We start from the raw sequence: 19,037 nt of genomic DNA, 5'->3' as shown, positions 1-19,037 counted from the left end.
ATTTTCTAGAAACTAAAGACTGCATATTTATTCAAATATATCCAGTGCTTCAGTTTAAGGCAAGCTTCTCCAATCCATGGCTGCAGGCCACATTCAGCCCAGTATGACTTTGAATACAGCCCAAAACAAATTTTTAAGCCTTCTTAAAGCATTATTAGATTTTTTTGCATTTTTCTTTTAGCTCATCAGATATCGTTAGTGTTAAGTGTATTTTATGTGTAGCCCAAGATAATAATGCTTCTTCCAGCGTGACCCAGGGAAGCCAGAAGGTTGGACATCCCTGGTTTAAGGCTTCCTCTCTGTTTTTACACCTCACCATCCCCTATTTTCATGATGACCTTACACCCTCCGGAAAATTCAAGAAATCCCATACCCATAAGCCCTTCCTTTTAAGGTGACTTTCTTGGATCAGGGTCTCTAGTAGCAAAGCCTAAGAAAAGAATTCTTATATATTGGGTTTTGGGGGCTCTCAAGAAACGCGAGGAGAGAGAAATAGGCTGGAGTGAGGGAAAGAGCTAATTAAGGATGTAGTTTAATCTGAAGTTTAACTTCAGCCAGTCCCACAGGTGCCCAGGAACACAAATTGCACCACAGACTGGGTCCCACCTGGAGGCAAGAGGGCAGGCTTTCTGCACCCACGTGTCAGTCAATCATCGGCTGCAGGGGTGTGATCTCCCAGGTGAGGAAGCAGCTGTTTGGCCAAGGGCAATTCTGCAGAGGAGACAGCTATAAGCCACTAGGGGACATCTTCCTGACAGTTGGGGGTAGTTGCACCAGCACCGTAAAGAGCACCAAGGCATCTACTGACAGCATCCATTCATGGTCACCAGAAAGCACACTGCAGAGGGAGAGATCCTTGAATTACTATTCATCCAAGCCCAGCATTCCACAGACAAGAAAACTGGTGCAGACTGGGTGACTTGCCAAGGCCACTCAGCTCATTGGTTGGGGCACTGGGACAAGAATCCAGACTTCCTGGCTCTCAGACATGGTTTTGCGGAATGAGCTCTGAAAAAATAGTAACAGTGTTAATGAATCAATTCTCAATCATGTCATCTTAAAGACATTCTCTGAGCAACCTAACATGATGCAATCACCACCCATTTGCACACAGATTTTAAAATTTATGCCAGGATGGTTGTGAAAATATGTACCCCAAATACGTTTTTCTCCTTGAGTAAAGGACATTTAAAGGGAAGTACTGTACTATATTTACTCCTCAAGAGAGAAATGTGACTCAAATGTAAATTACTGCGAATGGCAGGACTATGACAACAATCCAGATGTGAAAGGCAAACACAAGGGCATCCTGTGGAAAATTTTGTTCTGGAATGTTTAAGCTCTTGTTTTATCTTTCATGGCATAACATTTTGACCTTTTAATATGCAAAACTGCCAAACCCATTTTACAATGCAAATTAAAAACAACCTGTTAATGGCGCCAAACTGTTTTTTCAAAACTGCTTTTATTTGTAGCAATTCATGTTCATTCAACAAACAGTGATTGATTATATGAGAGCACCTGACACCAGGTACTGACGCTTATGAGCAAGACACCTTGTCAACCATAGGGAGACTGGATGAGGATTTATATAACTCAGGTGTATGACCAAGTCTCCCTTGTCTGACAGGCCTTATTATGAATGAGTGTGGTAGTGAGTAAGCTCTAAGACAGCCCCCAGGGATCCCAGTCTCCTGGTGCTCACACCCTTGAGAGTTCCTCTGCTCCTGAGTGTGGATGAAACCTGTGACTTCCTTCTAACCATCAGAATCCAGCAAAGACCGCGGGATGTCACTTCCATGATTACACTGCACAAGGTTGTAACTGCTGTCTTGTTAGACTCTCCACTGCCTTCTTGGTTTACATGCTTTGATGAAGGAAGTGGCCATGTTGAGGAGGTTCACGTGGAAACAAACTGAAGGTGGCCTTCAGCAGATGGACAGCTACCAACTACGGCCCTCAATCCATCAGCTGGAGGGAACCAAATCCCAACAACCACATGAGCTTGGAAAGCATGTCCTTCCTCACTCAAAGAGGAAGCCCAGCCCTGGCCATCACCTTGACTCCAGCCTTGAGACCCCAGCCCTGGCTACCATCTTGACTGCGGCCATGCAAAGATCTTGAAGCAGAGGACCTAGCTCAGCCATGTCTGAATTCTTCATCCGCAGAAACCATGAGATTATAAATGTGTGTTGGGTAAGTCACTAATTTTGCAGTTACCTTTAAATATTGTGCTTACCTTTACATATTTAAAATTAATTTTTAAAAATACAATTAGTTCTAATTAATCAGTATTTAAACATCCCCTGCCCAAGTCTAACAAGACTTTAAGCTTGCATTTTACTTTTCTCTTACTTCTTGACCATCTCTTTCCTGTTGTTGAAATTATCAAATTTTAATGTGTATGATTTTTAAGTACACATCTCCCCTCTATTCTGTTTGTTTTGTTTTGTTTTTGAGACACAGATTTTGCTTCCTCACTCAGGCTGGAGTGCAGTGGTGCAATCTCGTTTCACTGCAACCTCCAACTCCCAGGTTCAAGCGAGTCTCCTGCCTCAGCCTCCCAAGTAGCTGGAATTACAGGCACGTGCCACCCTGCCGGCTAATTTTTGTATTTTTAGTAGAGACAAGGTTTCATCATGTTGGCCAGGCTGGTCTTGAACTCTTGATCTCAAGTTATCCACCCACCTCGGCCTTCCACAGTGCTGGAATTACAAGCATGAGCCACCGTGCCAAGCCCTCCCCTCTATTCTTAATGGTATTCTAAAAATCATTAAGCTTCATAAAGAATATTAAAGACAATAATTTTTTTTATGTTTTACTGGGATCATTTTTTGTTTTGTCTCGCACTCACCACTTTTTTGAATTAAATGCTTTCTTTTTTCCAGAAGACTTCATGGGTGGTGAGTTTTCTCAGCTTCCTGGGCACATGAGCTGTGCAACTGCATGGGGCGCTGCATTCAGAGGGGTCCCACACTTATTTTAATGCTCTGCAGTTGCCATCCTGAAATTCTTAATTTTTAATTTTAATTTTTATTTATTTATTTATTTATTGAGACGGAGTTTCACTCTTCTTACCCAGACTGGAGTGCAATGGCACGATCTCAGCTCACCACAACCTCCCGTCTCCCGGGTTCAAGCGATTCTCCTGCCTCAGCCTCCTGAGTAGTTGGGATTACAGGCATGCGCCACCACACCCGGCTAATTTTTGTATTTTTAGTAGAGACGGGGTTTCTCCATGTTGGTCAGGCTGGTTGTGAACTCCCGACCTCAGGTGATCCGCCTGCCTTGGCCTCCCAAACTGCTGGGATTACAGGTGTGAGCCACCGCACCCGGCCCAAACTCTTAAATCTTTCAACAAGCAGCCCCACGCTTTTATTATGCATTGGGCCCCCAAAATTATGTATGCAGTGTTGTCTGAGTGTTTGCATGTTCAAGAACACTGTTATTTTGTTCTCACTCTTAAAGATAGTAAACAGAATATAGAATTCTAAATTCAAAATCATCTTCCTTCATAAAAATTTAGCACTTTGGAGATAGTTCCCATTTGGAAGATAAACCATTGAGTGCCAGTCTGTTGAAACTTTCTATGTCTCCTCTGGCAATATGTAGAATTTTCACCTTAGCTTTAGCGAACGATCCTTGGAATTCTTAGGAGGTTGAAATTATACTAGGTGATATCTGTGTGTGAACTTTCTCCCACTATTGTTGCTCACCACCTGGGGCCACAAGGAAATTCACTTTAAAAAAAATGGATTAGGGCCGGGCGCAGTGGCTCACGCCTGTAATCCCAGCACTTTGGGAGGCCGAGGCAGGTGGATCACGAGGTCAGGAGATCGAGACCACCGTGGCTAACATGGTGAAACCCTGTCTCTATTAAAAATACAAAAAATTAGCCAGGCGTGTTGGCATGCACCTGTAGTCGCAGCTACTCAGGAGGCTAAGGCAGGAGAATTGCTTGAACCCAGGAGGCAGAGGTTGCAGTGACCCAAGATTGCTCCACTGCACTCCAGCCTGGGCAACAGATCGAGACTCCGTCTCAAAAAACAAACAAACAAACAAAAAAACAAACAAATGGATTAGGCCAGGCGCAGTGGCTCATGCCTGCAATCTCAACATTTTGGGAGGCTGAGACAGGAGAATCATTGAGCCCAAGAGTTCAAGACCAGCCTGGGTAAAATAGCAAGACTTCATTTCTCCAAAAAGTAAGAAAAATTAGCCAGATGTGGTGACATGTGCCTATGGTCCTAGCTACTCAGGAGGCTGAGGGAAGACTGCATGATGAGCCTAGGAGTTCAAGGCTGCAGTGAGCTTTGATCGCACCACCGTATTCCAGCCTCGGAGACAGGGGAAGATCCCGTCTCAAAAAAAAAAAAAAAAAAAAAAAAGGGATTATTTTCTATTCTCCATTAAAACAAAAAAGAAAACCTTAAAGTCTCTCTTTCTGGAATATCTATTAGATGGAAGACAGATCCAGGAAGTCCAAAGTCTCTCACCAGTGTTTTTCATACTGTCTACTTAGTCAGCAAGGTTTCCTTGACTTTCCCTTCCAGATTACTTCTCCAGGTATGAGTGCTCTCATCAGCCAAGAGCATTCCTCAGGAGAAGGCTGGTGTGAACTAGTTGGCAGCCAACACCAAGAGAAGCTGGCCCAGCAAGGCCATCCAGGTGTGGCACCAATGGCATTGCTCCAATAAGTTAACTGAGCCTTCGGTTCCTCCTCTGTGAAATAAGTGTACCTTTCCCACTGAGTTGTTAGAAGGATTAAATGAAAGATTGTTGCAAAGCTCAAAGCATGCAATAAGTGTTCCATAAATGTCATTTCTTATAAAAGATGAACAGAATTTAATCACCAGCTTCTAAGTATTTCATTTCAAATGCCACCTCCTGCTTCAGCTTTCCTGATCTCCCAGGCCAGATGCAATCTCTCCCCCTCTGCAACAATACAATATGTTTACTTTGCAGTATAGTTAACAAGAGCACACAAAGGAACCATAGACAGAAACAGACTCCTAAATAGCTTATGACCCAGTAGAAAGGAGTCTACACCTTACTAATTTTCATTTCTGGAATCCCTGTAGCATAGAATACAGTGCTGGCCTATACTAACATTTATTTGAGCACCTTCTATCATAGAGCAACTTGTAATCATTCTGAATATAACTTCTGCCTGGCTAAGGCACTGGTAGCTTTGTGATATCTCAAAACTTGGCTAGACAAATTATCTACCTTTGTCACACCAAAGATCCTGCCCACTCCAACACATGGCAGGCCAACCCTACACTATTATTTATATTTGGCAACACTATGAAGAAAGAAATACAAAGAACTCTAAAGAGAATATTTTCCTGACTACTCATTAGCTGTATGATCCTGGGCAAGTCACTTAACCTCTCTGGGCTTCATTTTTCTCTTTGGTAAAATGAAGATGGTTTTTGGAGATATATCTCAAATTTACCCAGTCCTATCCCTCAGTCTCCCCATAAATGCGTGTTACTCTTAGGATGAAATCCAAAAATCTTATAAGGCACAAGGAACAGATGGTAAGGATGAGATATTTGCGGAGCCTTTTGTAAAAGTACTGTGCTTTCCCTGTTGTCGTTTGCGGGATGTTGTCCTCCAATCATCCAAGATGACCTTCTTTCCACTTCTCACACATCAAGCTCCCCATCGTATATTCTCTGCCAACCTCACCACAAAGTCGTTACTGTTGTGCATCCTTTGACCCCAGTCCTTTCTGGGGAAGAGAACTACTGCTTTTCCACAAGGAGGGATCTCCTGGGACCTCTGTCTCAGGCTGTTATGGTTAGAGTCACCACAAAAACTTTAAAAGCTCATATTTGAAAATACACCAGCTTATTCTTTGTTACTCCTTGCTAAGTCTCTCTCCCAGCAAACATGTTAGAAACCAGGAAATCCTTACTTTTACATGGGATTCTAATCCACTCAGCAGATTAAAAAGAGCAATTTGGAAGTGCAGTGAGAATGCCCACTGCTTAAATGCTGAGGGAGGGCCTCTGAGTCTTTCTGGCAACCAGGAAGCACGCAGGCTTTACGTGTAAGGCTCACTGGTGTCCACTCTAGGCGCTCAGGCCTTGTTCTTTCTTCCTTAGTTCTCAGATCTATCTCTGTTAGTGGAGGTTGTTTAATAGGTATGTGTGTGATACCTGATTTACTTAATGGTTGGCTCCTGTCCCCACGGTCAAAGATTAATGAACAATGAGGCAGACATCACAGCGGTAATTAACAGTCACATAACAGTAATGCTCAGAATTCCAGGTCCCACTTCATCAGTCTCTGGGTAGTAAATAAGCCCTGATTGGTGTCATCTCATTATTTCCAAATTCCTCCTTTATCATTTTTTGGAGAGTGGAGGTGTGGAGGAAGCATATCAGGAACATCACCTCTTAAAGAGTTATTTATGGGTTAGCTTTAGAGAACCATGAATAGTTTTCATCAGCAATGTAGAAGTTTAAAAACACTCATTACTCAAGATTGTTGCTGACTTGTTCATCAATCTTATCCCATAGTTGGTGCCCTGGCGTTTTAAGTGATGCAGAATATTAGGGTACTTTACTATCTGAATTTGTTAGAACACTGATTTTCCCAATTTAAGAGAATTTGGCATTTTTCAAGAATTTTGCCATGTTGCTTTTGTTGGCATAGTAAAAATTTTCAGCACAGCACTAGGGCTATTAGATTACAATGAATCAGCATGGCTCCAACCATAAATGTGAATTCAATCCCAGAGAGGACCGAGTCCTCAGGAACAATGGGCCAACAAAATGTTGCAAGCTCTGGAGCCACTGGTGGGCAGAGCAAGGCCGGTGAGGTCAGCGAAAGTCAAAGAGAGAAGGGCTTACAAGGAAGCTGTCTCATAGATGAGACAGAAATGGTGGTTTCCAGACAAGATGCTGATTGCAAACATTTTCATTCCAGCTACATTTGGGGCCTCATTCTTTAAAAGTAGTACAAATACGGCCAGGTGCGGTGGCTCACGCCTGTACTACTAGCACTTTGGGAGGCCGAGGCGGGCTGATTACCTGAGGTCAGGAGTTCAAGACCAGCCTGATCAACATGGCAAAACCCTGTTTCTACTAAAAATACAAAAATTAGCCAGGCATGGTGGCGCATGCCTATAGCCCCAGCTACTAGGGAGGCGGAAGCAGGAGAACTGCTTGAACCCGGGAGCTGGAGGTTGCAGTGAGCTGAGATTGCATATTGCACTCCAGCCTTGGCAACAAGAGCGAAACTCTGCCTCAAAACAAACAAACAAACAAACAAAAAACAGTAGTACAAATACAACACCATTTTTTCCTGCATTGGCTAATTCTCATTTACACTTCTAGAGTAAAGTGAAATATCTATAGATTGCTAGATGTGGCCACAGAAGGCTGATGGTAAAGTACAGAAACAAAATGTAAGCATTCTTTCAGCATGGTAAACTTCCACCTAGCCAAGTCTTGAGGGACACTGGAAAAGACTTATTCTCAAAGTCTGTGATCCAGGAGTTCTGCTTCCAGTACAGTAGAATAAGGTCCAATGGGGACTAACCCACCTGCTGATAACTATAAAGTGGCCAATATCAAGAAACCACCACCTGAAGACACTAGAGAATGAACACAAGCAAAGAGACTCAGGAAGGGAGTTAACATTTGAAATAGAGACCAGCATTTTTATAGCTTTCAGTCTGAGGGAAGGCAACTCAGGGTTCCAAGGTGGGGAGAGCTGTGGTAGAAAACCAACAGCCCTTCTGGCTTCAAGAACCAGAATGCAGAGTTCAGGGCAGCCACAACCACTGCAAAATGAGGGAGGAGTCCTAGAAAGGAGAGCCAGAGAGGGCGCCCCAAAATCTGGATATAATCTCTCCCCAAATTTCTGCAGCTAAGGATAAAGTATTAATAATTAAACTGAGAGTTCAAGTGCCACCAAAAGACAGCATATGTAGTTAAACTCCAACCAAATGAACTGCCCGATAAACCACAAAATGAAACAATTGAACACTCCCGTGTCAGACATTGAGGACAGGAGTGCTTGTTAAAATGTAGATTCCCAGGCCCCACCCACACATCTGCAGAATTAGAATCTCTTGGGGGTAATGCCTCAAGTCTGCATTTGCAACAAGCAGCCTTGATGACTCAGGCACACTAGAGTTTGAGCCTCAATGCTCTGTGAGTTGGCACAATCCACATCTCATGCTCAGATGTTTGCCGAAACAGACTGCACTTGAGGATGTGGTGTTCTGATTTTGGCTGTCAGTTGCTGGCATCTTTGGTGCTGGCCAAGTGAAGCTAAGAGGTCATTGTGCATCACAAAGATGCTCCCTCCTTCAGATCATCACTGAAACTTTGATAAGGAAGACGCCATACAGACAGGACAGCTGTCCCTCAGCAGTCTCCTGCAGGCCAGCACGAGAGTCCAGTCCTTTCATGGTGTTGTCCTCAATGCCTGGCTTCCCTCCTCTGCCATCTTTTTCTCTCCATATCCCCTGACCCTGGTGCCCCTCCTACCCCATGGAAAACAGCATTTTCAAGTCTTGAACAGATATATGTTAAAGATCGGTTGGGACATTCCTAAGTCCCGACAGAAATATGGTAAGCTGGTTGGCATAGGAAGGTGAAATACCAGTCATTCGTGTCTGGTATCTTGGCCTCAACATTTCATCATTTCCATTGCTGTGACTTCCAATTATAAAAACATTCGCAGGTTAAAAACTAGGAAACAGGCCTGGTGCGGTGGCTCACACCTATAATCCCAGCACTTTGGGAGGCCAAGGTGGCCGGATCACGAGGTCAGGAGATTGAGACCATCCTGGCTAACACGGTGAAACCCTGTCTCTACTAAAAATACAAAAATTAGCCGAGCATGGTGGTGGGCGCCTATAGTCCCAGCTACTTGGGAGGCTGAGGCAGGAGAATGGCATGAACCCAGGAGGCGGAGCTTGCAGTGAGCCGAGATCCACTGCACTCCAGCCTGGGCAACAGAGGGAGACTCTGCCTCAAACAAAAAACCAAAAAAACAAAAAAACAAAAAAAAAAACTAGGAAACAGCCCTTAATGAACCTGATAAACAATGCACTTGTCTCCCACCCTGGTCATTGTGACTAATATTTCTATTTCTTTGAAGGAGGAGACAGGCCAGTTGTTCAGGTTTTCAGACCTGTCCTGGAGACACTGTCCAGAATCATACAATGTGGCAAACCAGCTTAAGAACTCTCAGCCTTCACATCTGTTAGCCAAGTGACCCCTCTTGCAGATGAACACAATATTTTAATTTTTTAAAAAGTAGGATGGGGTTATTCTAAATTTTCAAACAATGGGCACCTTATGGAAACCTTCTAATCTTTAAGTGAACATACAGAACATTTTTTAAGGATTAAAATACATGGTAGAATAACATTCCTTGTCCATGTCACTTAGAAAACTACTTGGTAAGACTGTTTTAAATTTTTAAATCTTGGAGCTAATCTAATTAAGCCAGGCTACAGACAGCAAACAGGCAAATAAACGCTAACTAGTTCTAACTTAATATAACATTTTTAAAAATTAAGGAATTATTTCAGAGAAAACAGCAGGAGAGATATAATGGTGCACATGAGATGGCAAGAGAGAGGCAGAGCTTAATATACAGAGAGATATAGAGAAGTAGATATTCTAATTCAGTTGCCCCTTTCAACAAGTTTAAGCAAAAGGAAAAATAAAAAGGGCAGTTTTGTATTGGGGCTGTGTTTCTTAGTTAGGGAGAAGAGACAGACCAGTTACAGCTTTATAGCTCTATTTCCAATACTTAAATTACGGAGACTCACAACCTGCCATACATTCAACACCTGTCCTACTTCCCCTAATCTGGATCTGCACATCCACACACAGACAACAGCACAGTAAGACCTTTTAGTTATTTTCTTACCTATTTCATACTAACCAAGATTTTTCTATATTTTACAGTTTTCATTAAAATATAATGAATATATAAGGATCCAACATTTACAAAAGCATATCCAACAGGAAGAATTGTCCTTCTCCAAAGCCAACCACTGTTGACAAACCCATGTATATATTTATCCTCCTCAAAATGTCTATACATATATACGGGTGTGTGTGTGTTAAGTGTATCTTTATGTAACTTTGTAGACACACTATTCTGTATGCATGTATATATTTACATATGTGTGTGAATATATACAAGAAATATTCTGCATTTTGGTAGTTTTGTTTTCCATTAAGGATATTTTGGAAATTTTCCATATTGCCACTTATATAGAGATCTACCTCAGTCTTTAAGGCTGCATAGTACTCCAGCATATGAATGTAGCATAATTTAATCAGTTATGTGTTTGATTTGTGACTTCTAATATTACCATATTGCAATGAACATCTTGTAGATGTCTTTGCATATTGAAGCTGGAGTATCTGTGGGATAGAAACCTGGAAACAAAATTGCTGTCAGTGGTGTGAAGCACTTAACAATTTTGCCATATACAGTATTGTGAAATGACTTGTCAAAGGGGTTGCACCTATTACAGCCCACCGACAGTATATGAGAGTTCCTATTTGCCCTTAGCCTTGCTGATACATCACCCCAACTGTGCTCTCCTGCATCATGTTTTCCTGCTTTCTGCTGCGTTATTCACAAGGGTTCCCTCCAGCTATTACCCACTTTCTGCTTTCTTTATGCCTAGAAAGAGTTATCCATACTGGCATTATCCAATCTCTTTTCCTATTTTTTATTCTTTAAAGTTCTACTATGGAAATTCTAAACATGCATACAAGTAGAAGAAATAGCATAGACCGTACATAAGCCCCTGTGTGTCTGTCACCCAGCTTCAACATAACACTCTGCTCATTTTATCTATTTTCTGACAACTGACTTTTTCTCCTGGAGTAATTCCAGGTAAATCCTAGTTAAAATCTCAACCATGAATACTACACTATGTACTCCTAAAGGTAAGGGCTTTTAAAAAAGTCACTATACTATTATTTCACTCAATAAAATAACTCCTTAATATCATCTGATACCCAGTCCATTATAAACTCTTTTCTAATTGCTTCAAAAATGTCTTTTTGTTTTGTTCAAATAAAGATCCAAACAAGGTCCTTTAAGTTTCTCTAAGTCTTAAAGTCCTATTAACACTTTTATTTTGCAGCTTCAATTTGTTGAAGAAACTGGAATTTCTGTCCTATGGAATTTCCCACATTCTAGATTTAGCATATTAACGTGCTTTTCAATCTCCTGTGTGTTTTTACTTATTAGATGTAGAGGCTTGATTAGATTCAGGCTCAATTTCATTTGTCTTAGGCAGTAATTCATCATAATTCAACATGGTGTGTTGGGTTGTTGCTATTGCAACACAACAGAAGCATGTCTCATTGTTCCTTTTTCAGTAATACTAAGATTGAACATCAGGTTCAGATTTTATGAACCTAAGCCACCAAATAAATGCTTCTCATCAACTTTTCATTTCATGCTTTTAGCAGCTGGATCTGTTCCTTCATTAGAGGTGGCAAAATGGCGATTTCCTAATCTTATTCCTCTCATATTTACCTATGATTCTTACATGAAGAACTTTCCCTTATCAGGGTAACTTGATACACAAAGAAGTTGGGATAAATGATTCATTTTTCCCATGAACAATTTTCAAAATATTGAATTGGTGCCCTAGTAACCTCCAAAAGTGACCAATGAGTTTTTAAAATAGCATTATGATCTCATGGCCGTTTTATATATTTCATGTTTCAACACATTATTCTTTCTGATGCTCACATTTAACCCATCTTTGGCCAATGGAAACCCCTTCAAGTTAGCTCCTGGGTCCTTTTGACATGACCTTACTCTGTTTGCTGCCTTGCTTTCTGACACAAAATATTCCAGACTCATCTTGTCCTTTGCCTGCCCCCATTTAGTGGGACAGTCTGGGTACGAGGGCTGGCCTTACTATTGAGCTGTGATTATTTCTAGGCCTTTTCAGTGAACAAAGCTATGCAATACGTATTTTTCAGAAATAAAAATAAATCATACGATTCTTTATTATATTCTTGTGTCTCTTTTCTCCTCTGCTGAAAATCTTGGCTCTTGATTCCAATGACACAAGTAAATATTTGTTTTAACACACATAAATACCCAAATGACACTACCAATATCATTGCTAAAAATAAAACTACTGAATGCAGTTTAAGATTTATTTGTGGTTGTTTGGTCTGTAGGATATATTCCATTAGCAAAGTACAGACAAAATACTAAGTTTTCAAGTCACTTGAAGTAAGTCTTCTGTGGGGTTATATCACCAACTTGACAGACTGTTAAGTTTGTTTTAGTTTTAAGAGTTGCCTTTTCAAAAAATGTTTATTATATAAAACATTGACAGGGCCTCAAAATAAAAGGTATGTAAGATACAGAAATAGTTGCCATCCTTGTCTAGCTCCCTACCACCACTAACAAGGAGATCATTTTATTAGTTATTGGTATAACTAATTCTTCTATTGCTTTACAAAAAAAGCAAATACATATTTTTTCCATTTGTCTCTTCGTTATACAACAGACAGCACACCATACATTCTCTTCTGTGCTTTACATTTTTCATTTCCTATATTCTGGAGATTTCTCCAGACCAGAACTACAAAAATAGTTCGCAGTCCTTTCTACAGCTGTGTAGTATCCCATTGTATAGATATACCCTAGTTCCTTCCATCAATTCCCTATCAATGGAGATTTGGCTGGCTTCCAGTCTGTAGCTATTAGAAACAGTGCTGTAATCAAGATCTTTGTGCATATACTATTTCATATTCTTGCAAGTGCATCTCATATGGATTCTTAGAACTGGGTCTGCCAGGTTGAAGGATATACTCATTTAACTTTGCTAGTTAACAAATACCATCCACAGGGATTTGTAATTTTTGGAGTGCCTGTTTCCCTATTGTCTCAACAGAGTGCATTGCCTAACTTGGATTTTCCCCAATCTCACAGGTAAGAAAGGTATTTCCATTATTTTATTTTATTTTGCATTTGTCTTTTTATGCATATCCTTGTATGTTTAAAGACCATTTGCATTCTATTTTCTGTTAACTGTCTGTTCACATCCTTTTGCCTATTCTTCGGGTTCTTCTCATAGTTTAAAATTCTTCATATATAGGGCTACAATTAGCCCTCTGTGATAAATGCTGCAAATATTTTCAGCTATCCAAAAAAATCTTTTTTCTTCTCTGTCACCCAGGCTGGAGTGCAGTGGCTTACTGCATCCTCAAACTCCTGGGCTCACAGTCCTCCTACCTCAGCCTCCCAAGTAGGTGGAACCCAGGCCAGGTACTTAATTTTTTTTTTTTTTTTTTTTTGGTAGAGCCAGTCCTACTAGGTTGCCCAGGTTGGTTTTGAATTCCTGGTCTCAAGCAGTCCTTCTGCCTCAGCCTCCCAAAATGCTGGGATTACAGCCATGAGCCATTCCATCTGGCTGAAAATTCTTCTATAGACTTCTCTTTTTATTGCTTCTGAATTTTCAGTCCTAGGAAAGTTTTTCTCACTGTCAGATTATACAATAATTCATCTATGTTTTCTTCTAGTTAGAAAGAGGGTTTCATTTTAAAAATTGGGTCTTTGTTCTATTCAGATTTTATCCTGTGTATCCTGTGAGAAATCGATTCAATTTTATTTTTTTTTCCAAATGGTTAACCACACTTCTCTCAACACCATTTTTAAAGCCTTTTTCTCTGAATGAGATGCTTTATCATGTACTAAATTCCTAGACTTTCTCATATTGTAAACATTATGTTATAATATTTAATAGGGTTATCCCTCCTTCCACATTGTTCTTTTCTAGGCATCTTCTGGCTATTTTTGTTTATTCTTTCCAGTACTTCTTGTTTTATTGAAATCGCGTATGGCCCTTTAAGTATAAATATATATTACATATATGAATGAAGACATTTCAAAAGTGTTCTGCAAATCATATTCTAAAACCAACCTTAGGCAAGGCTTTTTTTTTTTTGGAAAATCAGAAGAAAAAAGAAGAAAACAGAAGTCATCTTAAGGGAATGCATGGACCCAGGTAAAGCCATGTATGGCGGCCACAACACCCAGAGTAGCCTTCCCTAAGAACAACAGCAGCATTTACTGAACATTTGCTGGATCCACAGTCCTGTAGTTAACTATTATACAGAGACTGGTCCATACAAAAGACTCAAGAAACTATACAGCTGTCTTGTTGTGACTATCACAGGAAAATTTATTCTGTAAAATAAAAGTATGCTGTGCATAACAAAGATCAAATGCTGTACTAGATTTTTAAGAAAACATTTAGCACCCACTATATTTTTTTAAATGTGAGGATTGTGAACTTCCCTTCCAGCTCAATCTTCACAAAATTACATATACTATACCTCAGGGTAAAATCTAACTTTAAAAAGAGTTACAACATCTTTCAAATAAAGCAAATTCAGTCTGTAGGAAAATAAATTATCACTTGATATTGGGGTATATCTTTCTTCAATCACTTGGCACATCTGCGGCCAGAAACTCCATTCACTAAGTAAACGAAGGAACTTCTTCCTTCCAAGGGCTGGGACCAAATTTCCTGTGCAAAAACCTTCCTGTATAAGTGAAACCTGTCATTCTCCCAGCAAAGGATAATTGAGATTAGAGAGTGTGTAAAACAAAAATACAAAAATATTACCCAAATTATTTGTACCACATACAGGTTTGAAACCTGGCCATCCAAAATACTAACTAAAAAGACTATTATTGTTCTTAAGGTAGAGAAATCAGACAACACATCTTGGCGCTCATGTTGCTTCCTGCACTAACCTAGTTAATCTGACAAGTGAGACAAATTGTTCATTGGGAAGATGTTTATATCATGCTTCAGTATAATTTGTCTATTCTTTTATAGGGGAGAAATGTTGAAAATAGAACATTCAGTCTTTCTGGCAGTTAATCAACAGTGACACAACCTTACATTTCCTAACAACTACAAATTCCCTAATTAACCATTTTAAAAATGCAATAACAAAACCATTAAACCACTATTTGCTCTAGTTCACTGTTTTTATTTACATAGCTACCTTTCTCCTAGACAAGCAACGTTAGCGAAAGATGCCTTCTTGATGACAATCCTATTCAATTTTTATTTATTTTTTTGGTGAAGGGTTTTCTCAGCAGCCAGTTACCACATGGAGCATTTCACAGTTTCAAAGAAGTTTTCCTCATTTTAAAACTGCAAGAAAATGCTACACTTGATGGTAGTTCCTAAAAAAATAGTTCAATCAACCTTCTAGAATTTTTGTAATATAACTTCAAGTATGTAATGATTTAATTAACACAATACTCTTAATAAACAACAGCAACAACAAACCCAAGTGCTAGCTCATTTCTGGTGCCATGAGACATAATAGCACCACTTGTTTTTCTATTTTAGTGGTTAAAATGTATGCAATTTTAGCACCCATCTACAAAAGTTAGATGTTAATAAAAATATGGTATTACTTGGCTTACTAGGAAGTAACAGTCTTAATATCCCCTTAAGAGAAGAAATCTGTTTCATTTGCTGCATCCTGGGTCATGGAAAAGAATAGTATGAAAGGGGGAAACAAAGAACAGCCTTTTAGGTAAGGCTTTTCAGTACCTGAATCACTGAAAGTATTGAAGTCATGTTCCTTGGAAGAGTAGAATTATACCACACATAGGAGGTTCCAAGGAGTTATGTTGTTATACACTGTATGTCAGGATAGACCACATTTAAAATGCTGAACATGGCTTAGCAGCCTTAAATATAAAAAACAGGTAAACTAGAAAAAGTAATGATAGTGATCAACTCCCGTCCTCTAACCAAAAATCTGCCTTGTCACTCCGTTTCAAAAACAAAGTGAAATATTCTAAACAACTGACAAATTTTTACATAAAAACACATTGAATTTAGATTAATATCAGTTATCAAGACACAATAAATACATGATGGGGAAGACAAAGAAAATAAAGTGCACCTTTACAGTGTAAGAGACTCAGAAATCACTTCCTAAATTGGTAATATAGATTGCAATATAAAAATAACTAGCAAAGTTAGATTAAAAAATTTTCAGCTGAAAAATTACAGTTTTTCAGTACATCAGAGGGACAAATAACCTTTTATTTAAAGGTATTATATTTAGAGACTTGTATATTTCAATTTTGTGTAGGAGAAAGGAAAGCCATTCTTCTAGAAGGCACTAACTGGTTTAAATGTGTGAGTGAATTCCTAAAGAAAACATGTGCAAAGTATAGTCAAGAAGGCTGCCTGGTTGTGTGTTGTATTCACTACTCTTCATCACAGACTATGAATTATTGCTGAACAACTATATCAGTCACCAGGTTTTCCCATCAGAGCTTCAGTGTGTTCAGTCCACAGTGTCGCAGATCTCCTTTACTTTCTGGTTGAATTCTTCTGGTTGATCTGCATATACATAATGTCCTGCCCCAAGAATAGCCTGGATAAGGAAAAGCATTCAGACAGTTAGTGAGTAAAAGCATTTAATAAAACAGAATGATATATAAGCAAAGACACTTAGTAATAAAAGTGAGAGCCACTGTATTTAAATAAAACACGTGATTAAAAAATAACAATAATCTATAGTAACTATTAAGTATATCCATTAAAAGGATCTGAGAATAGAAAAATCTACTGAATCTCAATAAAATTTTAATATGCAAAAAACACTAAATTGACCACTAATAAAAGTGCCAACAGAGAAACTGAAAAAAGTGAGAGTGTGCTGCCTTGTGAGGTGGGAATTACTTGAAGTGCTACTGGACCAATCCCTCTGTCCATCTCTCCTAATGCTGTGGCTCTAGGGACAGGAAAAGTCATTCAGAAAGGTAGTTCACGGTTTGGACATGAAGATGTGTGCAGGCCAAACCCTGCACCCATCACAGGTGGTATCACGTCCCCGACTGAGGCTGCAGGTATGGCTCAGATGACCTGCAACACGAGGATGACCTAAAACCTCTTTTAAGGGAGATAATAAAACGGACCTCACCTATACCTAAAAACCCAAATCAAGCCACACACTTACTATTGTCTTCACATATGAATGTGGTCGTAAGGACTGGATGCTGGTGCCAGAATTGCCATCTATGCAGGATCGGGCGCCAAAGATCACTGAAACTGGAATGTCAGGGTGCATTTTACCAATTCGCTGGAGCATTGGCCTTTTTGCCCATCCATAAGGAATAGTCATATTCTTGAAAGCTGTCTCACCACTTTAACGGCAAGGAGAAAATCACGATGTATGATTTTTGGGAATGAGTATGCATTGCACTGTCACTTCTATCAAAACACATTCATATTTAGCTTTTCCAGCACCTAAGAAAAACCTCAGCTTAAATAGAAAATAATTTATGAGACAGTGTAAGGAACAAATCTCACAGATCACTGTTAGATAAGCAAGGCTGTTGTATACTCCAGCTGATTTTTAAAAAAGTTTTCTTGTAAACCAAAATGTACAACCCTAATTTTCTATCATTAAATTATTTATTGTGGAGATAGTTAAAAATATGTTTTTTTGTCCTTATTTAAACTGATGTAGAAGGTAGCTTATCCCCAGGTTCATGGCACCAGCGTTTCACCTGCAATGCTAAAACCATTACCAAGTTAAGAAGAAACTCAGACAATATATTCTTGCAAGCTCTCAGGATAGGTCTATCTTGCTGTCACTTCTGCTATTCATTTTTTTTTTTTGTTTTTTTTGTTTTTTTTGAGATGGAGTCTAGCTCTGTTGCCTAGGCTGGAGTGCAGCTGCACGCACAGTCTCAGCTCACTGCAGCCTCTGCCTCCCGGGTTCAAGCAATTCTCCTGCCTCAGCCTCCTGAGTAGCTGGGATTACAGGCACGCACCACCATGCCCAGCTAATTTTTGTATTTTCAGTAGAGACGGGGTTTCACCATGTTGGTCAGGCTGGTCTCAAACTCCTGACCTTGTGATCTGCCCGCCTCGGCCTCCCAAAGTGCTGGGATTACAGGCGTGAGTACCACGCCTGGTCCCTTCTGCTATTCTTACAAAACCAGACATCATTCTAACTTGCCTTTTATGAAGAATTCAAGTCTCACTACAATCAAAGTAACAAACTAGGACTACACGAACACATGTAATCATGAAATAAGAGTACGTGAAGAGTAAAACTTACGCCATGCAGGAAAATGAATGATGTTCCCGGGGAAGACCCCTAAAAAAAACTGTTGGAAGTGTGTAGACCTAATCCACCAAACCTGACTGCCTAGCAATTCACAAAACCTCAATCTCTTGAAGACCTTGAACCTCTAGCCTCCCTCACTCTTGGCAGAGAACCTCTAACCTACTTTATTAAAAAGACTGAGGCTACAGCTACCTATAAATAGCTACCATGGCCTCAATCTTTTTAATAAAGTAGGTGTACATATTTTCTGCCAAAAGTGAGGGAGGAAATAAAAGAGAGGGAGGCTGTCTCTGCATCTCGCCTCTTAGCCTTTCATCCAAACCTCAGTCTTAGAAAGGATGAGATACCACTTCTCTGTCTTAAAGTGTGCTCCATAGTTCACCTATACAGAATCACCAGAGTATTTGTTAGAGATGCAGCCCAGAAATGCTAATATTAGTCTTAGAAACAAACCTCAGGAGTCACATTTCAACAAGCACCCCCAATAATTCCAGTACACAACATAGCATGAGAACTGCAGCTCTCATCTTTGCACTCTATTCTTGATGCTCTTCCTAGAAACTCTAGGGCCTTATCATTCGGCCTCCTCCTAGCCCCCCACTATCTTCAGGCTCTGTTTTCTCCACTGGTACTTTTCACCCAACATCCATAAGTCATATTTTTAAAACATACATTTGGCCCTCTTGCTCCCTCTGCTACTATGCCCCATTCTCTCTCTCTCCTTCTAATCACTGTCAAAATACATGCAGAATCCCTCACTTACTCCTCACCCTCTGCAGCTGCATTTCTAATGCTGACCTACAGATCTTTAGAGTTGTTCAGGAGTACAATCATCAAATGAACTTGAAAAATACACATAGCATCTCCCATTCACTTGGGAGATTCAAT

The 19,037-nt window shown here is 39.9% G+C and overlaps 1 protein-coding gene across 9 annotated transcripts in view; it reads right to left on the bottom strand.

Annotated features, from left to right (window-relative positions):
- ABHD5 (abhydrolase domain containing 5, lysophosphatidic acid acyltransferase) overlaps positions 517–19,037 on the bottom strand; it is a 43,502-nt gene continuing 24,981 nt past the window's right edge. For 3 of the 9 annotated variants that reach the window (NR_158560.1, NM_016006.6, NM_001365649.1), the window contains 2 exons: positions 17,031–17,217; positions 12,163–16,445 (listed from right to left, as the gene is read on the bottom strand). Coding sequence is in view for 5 of the 9 variants with exons in the window: in NM_016006.6 (NP_057090.2) it covers positions 16,356–16,445; positions 17,031–17,217 (277 nt within the window). In the remaining 4 variants the exon portion in view is untranslated. Of the gene's footprint in view, positions 1,009–12,162; positions 16,446–17,030; positions 17,218–19,037 lie in introns of those variants that run through there. The other 6 variants (XR_007095689.1, XM_047448243.1, NM_001355186.2 and 3 more) reach the window with 6 other exon arrangements.

This window comes from Homo sapiens, chromosome 3 (assembly GCF_000001405.40).
Source record: "Homo sapiens chromosome 3, GRCh38.p14 Primary Assembly".
Taxonomy (NCBI): Eukaryota; Metazoa; Chordata; class Mammalia; order Primates; family Hominidae; genus Homo; species Homo sapiens.
Note: the sequence above shows the minus strand (reverse complement) of the source record. Positions and strands in the feature narration are given on the sequence as shown.